Source organism: Homo sapiens, chromosome 8, assembly GCF_000001405.40.
Source record: "Homo sapiens chromosome 8, GRCh38.p14 Primary Assembly".
Taxonomy (NCBI): domain Eukaryota; kingdom Metazoa; phylum Chordata; class Mammalia; order Primates; family Hominidae; genus Homo; species Homo sapiens.
Window position 1 is genome coordinate 139,164,686 of NC_000008.11, and position 8,632 is coordinate 139,173,317.

The 8,632-nt window shown below is 42.4% G+C and overlaps 2 annotated features.

Annotated features, from left to right (window-relative positions):
• Positions 4,609-5,808: an enhancer, noted in NCBI's record as "P300/CBP strongly-dependent group 1 enhancer chr8:140181537-140182736 (GRCh37/hg19 assembly coordinates)". NCBI's record gives its function as "activates an origin of replication core promoter dependent on BRD2, BRD4, P300/CBP, MED14 and CDK7 cofactors, with strong dependence on P300/CBP, by STARR-seq in HCT116 cells {active_cell/tissue: HCT116}" and the evidence as "EXISTENCE:reporter gene assay evidence [ECO:0000049][PMID:35650434]".
• Positions 5,075-5,674: an enhancer, noted in NCBI's record as "NANOG hESC enhancer chr8:140182003-140182602 (GRCh37/hg19 assembly coordinates)". NCBI's record gives its function as "activates a minimal SCP1, AML or CMV promoter by ChIP-STARR-seq in naive H9 embryonic stem cells {active_cell/tissue: H9 hESC(naive)}" and the evidence as "EXISTENCE:reporter gene assay evidence [ECO:0000049][PMID:30033119]".

An 8,632-nucleotide genomic window follows, 5' to 3' on the forward strand; every position in this document is an offset into this window, starting at 1 on the left:
TCAAACTCATTCTCCATCCAGTTTTGTTCCCTTGCTAGCGAGGAGTTGTGATCCTTTGGAGGAGGAGTGGCAATCTGGTTTTTGGAATTTTCAGCCTTTTTGCCCCAGTTTCTCCCCATCTTTGTGGATTTATCTACCTTTGGTGTTTGATGTTGGTGACCTTCTGATGGGGTCTCTGAGTGGACATCCTTTTTATTGATGTTGATGCTAGTCCTTTGTTTGTTTTCCTTCTAACAGTCAGGACCCTCTGCTGCAGGTCTGCTGGAGTTTGCTGGAGGTCCACACCAGACCCTGTTTGCCTTGGTATCACCAGCGGAGGCTGCAGAACAGCAAAGACTGCTGCCTGTTCCTTCCTCTGGAAGCTTCATCCCAGAGGGTCCCCTGCCAGCTGCCAGCCAGAGCTTTCCTGTATGAGGTGTCTGTTGGCCCCTTCTGGGAGGTATCTCCCAGTCAGGAGACATGGGTGTCAGCGACCCATTTGAGGAGACAGTCTGACCCTTAGCAGAGCTGAACACTGCTGGGAGATCCGCTTCTCTCTTCAGAGCCATCAGGCAGGGATGTTTATGTCTGCTGAAGCTGTGGCCACAGCCATCCCTTCCCCCAGGTGCTGTGTCCCAGGGAAATGGGGGGGTTTTATCTATAAGCCCCTGACTGGGGCCGCTGCCTTGTTTTTGAGATTCCCTGCCCAGAGAGGAGGAATCTAGCGAGGCAGTCTGGCCATGATGGGCTTCCTGAGCTGTGGTGGGTTCCACCCAGTTCAAACTTCCTGCCTGCTTTGTTTACACTGTGAGGGTAAACCCACCTACTCAAGCCTCAGCAATGGTGGATGCCCCTCCCTCCACCAAGCTCAAGCATCCCAGGTCGACCTCAGACTGCTGTGCTGGCAGCGAGAATTTCAAGCCAGTGGTTCTCAACTTGCTGGGCTCCATGGGGGTGGGACCCACTGAGCCAGACCACTTGGCCCCCTGGCTTCAGCCCCCTTTCCAGGGGAGTAAATGGTTCTGTCTCACTGGCATTCAAGGTACCACTGGGGTATGGAAAGAAAAAAAACAAAAAACTCCTGCAGTGAACTCAGTGTCTGCCCAAAGGGCTGCCCAGCTTTGTGCTTGAAACCCAGGACCCTGGTGGCATAGGCACTGGAGGGAATCTCCTGGTCTGTGGGTTGTGAAGACCATGGGGAAAGCACAGTATCTTGGCTGGAGTGTACTGTTCAGTCCCTCCTGGCTTCCCTTGGCTAGGGCAGGGAATTCCTCAACCCCTTGCACTTCCCAGGTGAGATGATGTCCCACCCTGCTTAGGCTCACCCATCATGAGCTGTACCCACTGTCCAATCAGTCCCAATGGGATGAACTGCATACCTCAGTTGGAAATGCAGAAATCACCCTGCCTTCTGAATCAGTCTCACTGGGAGTTGTAGTCTGGAGCTATTCCTATTTGGCCATCTTGCCAGCAATCAATTTCTGTTCTTTTCATATCTATTTTTCTTCCTATATTACCTGGCCTCAGGTTAGTCCTTTATAGCAATATTAAATTGAACTAAGACATAAATAAGGGATGATTCCTACAGAGACCTGATGGCACCTTCTTGGTTAAAATAAAGTGAAGCCAAGAGCCAGATTGAGCTGATACCACCTTTTCTAGTTCGCTTAGAGGTTGTATATGGGGTGACCTGTTGAAAAACCCCTCTACTTTCAAGACAACAAGGAAAGTTTCATTGGCCATATGGGATCACTACATATGGGATCACTACATAGTTGAGGTTTCATGCACACTAACATGCAGGTAGGTTGACCTGAAGGCAAAAGGTAGAAATACAGGAATGAGTAGTCTCTGGCCTAGAAAAAAAATTTTACTGATTCCCAGAAACATTTTTCTGTGAAATCCCTCATCATTCTAGAAGTAGCGATGGTACATTCATCTTAGGTAAACTGTGAAGTTCCCATTTCTCTTCAATGTGTAAATTAATCTATAACCTTCATGAACTTTGGACAATATCATCTGCTTCCTCTAGTGTGGCCTTCTATGCACTGGCATATGGGTATCCTTGACTCTTAACATCAAATATCTAGGGATTTCTAAGTATGAGCTAATAACAAGGGGGAGTAGAAGAGTTACAGGAATGCCTGTGTGCATATATTCACACATTCTAGTCATTCTGAATTCAAAGACATAGGAGCCCAGGTAGGTGCATGGCAGGTAAAATGCATGTCCAGAATGAATGAAGTCTTCTGTTAGAATCTGAATGTTGGCACTAATGTTCTCAGGGTGGTTTGATCAAACCGCTTTCTTTAAAAACTAGAAATACAGAAATGGCTTTGTTTATAGAAGTGTTCCAGAACACATTCCCTCCCCCATTAACATTTAGAACATTAAGCCTCTGAGTCATGGAAAGCAGGTGTTCATGGAGGACTGTATAATAAGTTGAACTGGATTAACAAGAGTGAGTCTTGGATAGGAAGAGTATTCCAGGGCTTGAGGTGGGAAAGTGAGAATTTTCCTCATCTTGGGTCTATTCTCTGAAACTTAAACAGAATTGTTAGGAAAGGGGATGCTGGAGAAAGGCCTTGTGTATCCCATGAGACCAATGGGAAGATGAATCAACTGAGATACCACTGAGGATTTCCTGACTTTCAACAGATATGTGTAGATACCATGTCCAGAAAAATTCCATAGTTTCTCTAAAGGCTTAATGTGCACAAAGCATGTCACATGTTGCCTAATCTTTCCACTCCTATGTGCTTATAGTCAGCAGCATGCACTCTGAGCACAGGTAACTGGTATTAAGTGATATCTTAAGGAATTCTCTTTATACTTCTGAGCTCTAGAACGTGCTCTGTGGAGAAGCCCATGAGATTTGCTCCAGATTTCACTTTCAAAGCTATTACACACGCTAAAAATGTCTCCTTCAATCCTACAACAAAACCAGAGCTCCTATGAGGAAATAGTTTGTTCTAACCTAGGACCTATTTAGCCAAGTAATAAAGTTGACGGGAAGAGAGGACAGGATTCAAGGACTATCTATCGAGCTTGGATTTTTTTTGACCAAATTGAAGAATTGGTTTGTTCTCACCTAAGTTCTATCAAGCCAAATAAGTGATGGGACAGGATGAAAAAGATTTTTCCTGACGTGAAAGGATTTGGGTAGTCACCCATTGAATGTTCTCATGGAGATCAAGTCTGGGACAATCAAGATGGCTGTGGATCGAGCTCAAGTATCCATTATGAATGTTAAAATCTTGACAGGCAGCAGGCACTCACCCTTCTGTGGATACTCACCATGGCTGGTTCTAGCCTCGCAAGTGGCCCAGTGATGGGCACCCAGGCCTGTCCTCCATGTTGCTTCATGTTTGCTTCCTGATATCTCAGTGTTGAAGTGAAAGATCGGGGATGAAACAGGCAGAAACCAACTTTGTGTCCAGGGGAAAATGTTTAGAGACGTGAGGAAAAATGCTTTTAGTTTTATGTCAAGGTTCTTTTAAGTATGTTACGAGCACAGGTTGGTAGAACCTGGTTTATTTCCAAAACTGAGACTCAGGAGAAAAAAGCAGGTGTGCCCCATGATATAAACGTGGCTCTTCGTATCTGTACTGACTGCATCATAGACAAACTCTGGTTGCAGAGGAAGGATTTCCACAGCTATTTCCTAACTATGTTTACACAAAGTGCTTGTAAAAATGCTGACATCCAGTGGATTTTGAAAATTTTGTTTTGATGTAAATTTTCCAAAGTATCCTTTATCCAGACAAATTGGGTATATTGGTTTCCTGTGGCAAAATGAACAGTGGAGGGTTGAATCTTACACTTCCCTTTTTGGAATCACCCAAGTCGACATGGTGGTCAGGTCTTTAGGCTCAGGGATCCTTGGGGCCAGCTTTAAAGTCAACTGGGATGTACTTTGTGATGGAAAAAATGTGAGTGTAGAGCCTCTTTCATGACTATATAGGAACAAAGATGAGGGAATTGCAGACAACTTGAGGAAAGGGAATGTTTAGAAAGGAGTGGGACAGATGGGGTCACATCTGCCTGAAGTGAAACATGCACCAGTTGCTCCGACATTGGGCGTGAGTTGGGAGGGACAGCACTTGGCACTTCCTTTGCTGAAATGGCATATGAAAGGCCAACAAAACTTTATGTAAGAGGACATGAGAAAAGTGACATCCCATTGCCTAGAACAGGTCAGTGGTCAGTGTGGATGTGAACCTTTATCCTTAATTTCCTCAGTATAAGACTTACATAAGATCCTAAGGTCTAGGATGATCCTGTCCTGTCTGGGAAAATAATCTGGGCTGTTTACTCATAGTTTCTGTAGTTCTTTGTCAAGCTACAGATAAATGTGGAATATGGTGCCAAAGTCTTTATAGAACAGCCTCTTATTGCTATCTTGATAGGGATTTCACTGAATCTGTAGACCACTTTGGGTAGCAGACATTTTGACAATATTTACTCAAAAACCTTTCAGCAGATACTCATGCCTGGGCCAGGTTGTTTCTGAAACCATAATCTAAGTTAAGTCTTCCATTCCAATAATAATCCTGAAGCCCATCAGAGGTGTCTTTCAAAGCTCTTGTGACCCATGGACTTGTGCTGAATCAATGAGGAGAAAAAGTGCTGTAGGAAAAAGCATAATTCAGCATCAACCTCACCTCTCATGTACTGGCTGTGTTGCCTGGAACAAAATTCTTAATCTTTCTGAATCTGACACCTGACCTGTAAAAATGGGCTAATTGCTTTATGATACTATGACAACTTAGAGATTATTCATGTGGCATATTTAGGTTAATCCTCAACATAAGATAAGCATCTAACAGAAGCTATTTTGCGATCTAATAAGTTCTTAGCACTGCACGCATCATGCCATTAAATTTTTGCCAAAGATGTCTTAATTATGAAAATTCCTTTCACAATGAAATAGAAACACACTCGTGTCTATATAAAAAGCTTATAACCTTACTAATGGGATCCTAGCCTGTGAATTTAAATTTGAGCTTGTTTATGCAGTGCCTTCTATGTCACAGGCTATGTGCCAGCCACCCAAAATATTCTTCATACTCAACTCTGACACTCAAATCAGTTTTTCCAGTGGACCGTAGCATGTTCCTCAGATGAGGATGAAATTCAGGAATGATAAAACCATGGCTCTTTGTAGCCTGTTGGTGAATCACAAGCCGAACCAAAGTCTTCTGACACCTTGACATTTTTTTTCCACTCTCCCACACTAGGCATAAAAATGATGTTGGTGATGCCTCAGGATTGAGTGACTCAGGCTGCAAACCTTTGGGGAAGTAGGCTGGGTGGGATAAGCTTGACTCTAGATCAAAGCACTTCAAAGCAGTTTCTCAGGATCATTCATCTTTCATTAAGCAGTGATTGAGCCCCTACTGTGAACACAAACATGATCCTCTTTAAGGTGTTCATAGTCTATACAGGAGGAACAGACACACAAGTAACAGAACAGTCACAGTATAGTCTGAAATCCTTCAAATACCCACCCACCTGCAAGGTGCATTGAGGCATAGGGAAGGGGATTCTTCAGTTGAAACCTCAAAGTTAAGGGGCAGCGTAATTGGACACTGTAGGTAAAGAATTTGTTACAAAGCAAAAACGTGCAGATATTCAGAGGACTAGAAGAACAAGGCATCTGACTGGAGAGTTACTGGGCCTGTGGACTCCTAAGACTGGTATAAAACCGTTTTTGCTAGAGTCGGCAAGCTTAAACTAATACCCAAGAGCGACTGTGAATCAACAATTGTTTTGGAGCTATATTCTGCATAGTTAACAAGGGTGTCCATTAAACATTATCTTGGACCTAATGGCCACTATTTCAATGCCTCAGCAGGATACTAAATGGAATTCTGGCAAGAGAACAGACTTCCATATCTGTTCTTAACTTTAAAATGGCTTTAGGAGGTAGAATAGATCCTGAGAACCAAAGAATAAAGCTCACCGGAAGTTAAAGATGGCTATGAGACCAGGTGTTCCAGTTTATCTTGAGTATCTGAACTATGATCAAATGTCTGTCCTAACCCTTTTGGTTTACATAAGTCCACAGTAACACTTCTACAGAATTCTAGATCTCTTGGCATTGAGTTGCCATGGTTACCTACTTACATGCCTGTCAGCTCGGCTAAACTGTGGTTTTCTTATGGGAATAGTAGCTTCCTTAATACATGTCTGCTGAATTTAAACCCTCTTCCTGCTTCCAACATTCCTTTCAGACTCATGAGGCTGCAGCCATCTCCTATGAGTTGCTGAAATGGGGCCTAATTAGGGTTAGTTGGAGCATCAGGAAGGAAAGACACTACACATACTTAGAGAGCTACACTCCAAACCAGGAGGTCTGTGCCTGCCTTCTGGCTCCTGCAGACACTGGGAAGGTGAGAAGGGTAAAAAGGATTTCAGTCATCAACCATGTATTTTACCCTAATCTAACAGGTCAATATATACTAACAATGAATCCATAAATGCCACCCCCACTGCTTTGTGGGGAAAAAAGGGAGGGGAAGGAAAGGAATAGCATCTCCTTTCTTTTCATCTTTGAAACACTTATTCTTAAAACACATCTGCTAGATCTAATTAGATCCTTTCAAATCCAAGATGAATATTGTTCTCATTTTACACATAGGGTCATTGAGAAGTAGGCTGCTTACACATGTATCTTGCATAAAGCTTACATAAATATCAGCTTGATTTTTGGATGTCTTTAACTCTCAGCCTGATGCCCTTTCTGTATAGCTTACTGGCTGAGAAATGGTTTAAATTTACATGTCTGATGGTTTGTTCAAATGCAATAAATTGTCTGAAGATCAATTTCAGTTAAAGCTATCTTTGCCCCAAGAGGAAAATAAAGTGCAGTTGCAGGTGTATGGACTGAGAATCAGACCTAATTAAAATTACTCTGGCCATGTAGGAGCTATGTAAATTTGTGCAATTTGCCTTATATTTCTTAAGCCTCAGCTCTCTATAAAGGGGGATGGGGATAACATGCTTCTAATGGTTTTAAGGATAGTATAAAAAAATCTTGAAATACAACCTGAACCTACTTACAGCAGCCTGATCTAATATTCCAAATTATAATCACTTAAATACATGAGAATGCAATTAGATTAGCAAAATCCACAGTTCTAACTATAGACTTTGTCCTTAAGTTTTTGAAAGGTTTTAATGATAACAGATGAAGAAATTGAAGTTGAGTTTTGGTGCTAGTTTAAATAATTGACTTCTTACTATGTATGTGACAACCATTGTACAAGGTGCTGTTCATACAATACCTCTAATGCTTCCGGTAAACATGAATAGACAAGTAGGGCTTTACAAGTGAAATACACTTCCAAAGTTCACATGGCTAGGAAGTGGCAGAATTGAAATTAAAATCAGATGGGATTTTTTTCTCCATAACATCAAGAACAACTGAATAAATGCTATGCAGTCATGAATGAAGTTTAGTTTCCTCCTCCCCATGAAATGAGTTCTGTTAAGCTCAAGACACAATGTGGGAAGAGTTTGCATGAGCAAGCTTCCTTTGAGCATCAGGAGACACCTCATGCTGGATCACACAGCTGGCTCTCCTTTATTATGTTCCAGCTGATGAAACCACCACGGCTCCCTTGCCTATAATGGAGTGTTTCAATTTGGGTACAGAATGAAAGATGCAGGCTTCCTCTTCTCCTCCAGAATCTTAATGCAGACTGCTGCACAAAGCTTCCATTAAGAGGATGGTTTGCATTTTTCTTCCTGGGTTTGCCAAATACAAGATCAGGATGTTTCATTCTCAGAGGTAACTGATACCAGCACTTCATAATTCAAACCAATAGATACTTAGGGAGCTCCTACTTTGTGAAAGAACCTGAACTAGATATTGCAGGGCACTGAAAAGTAGACAATATGTGGCTGTATTATTGTAATTTATGCAATTGTCACGATGCTGAGTAGTAATTAGTAATAGTTGAGTGGGTAGTAATTAGTAATGGTTGCAGTGTTGAAGTTAAAAATGGGGATAACAAGATACAGTTGTCCTTCAGTATATGTGACAGATTGGTTCCAGGACATTTGGATATCTCAGTCTTTATATGCTCAAGTATGGAAGTCACCCTGCAGAACCCATGTATGTATAAAAGCCAGACCTCTGTATATATGGACTTGGCACACTGCAAATATTGTCTTGTGTTTTTAAGAGACAGGGCCGCCTCTGTCACCCAGGCTGGAGTGCAGTGGTATAACCGTGGCTCACTGCAGCCTTGAACTTGTGGTCTCAAGCAATCCTTCTGCCTCAGCCTCCTGAGTAGCTAGGACTACAGGCATGTACCACCATACCTGGCTATTGACTTTTATTTCTGGATTGGTCTCACTATGTTGCCAAGGCTGTTCTGAAACTCCTGGCCTCAAGCAACAGCCTCCCAAGTCACTGGGGTTACAGGCATGAGCCACTGTGCCCAGCTCCTAATATGATAATTCCAATTCATATTTGATTGATGGAAACCTGCATATAATCAAGACCAGCATAGTTTAAAAAGGGTCAACTGTATTGTGTTCAAAGACATTTTCTGGTGGGTATGACTGGATCTCGAACACAGAACCTCTAGTTCTCAACCTTAAGTACATTCCATTTCATGCTGCTTAAGAGCTCACACTACAA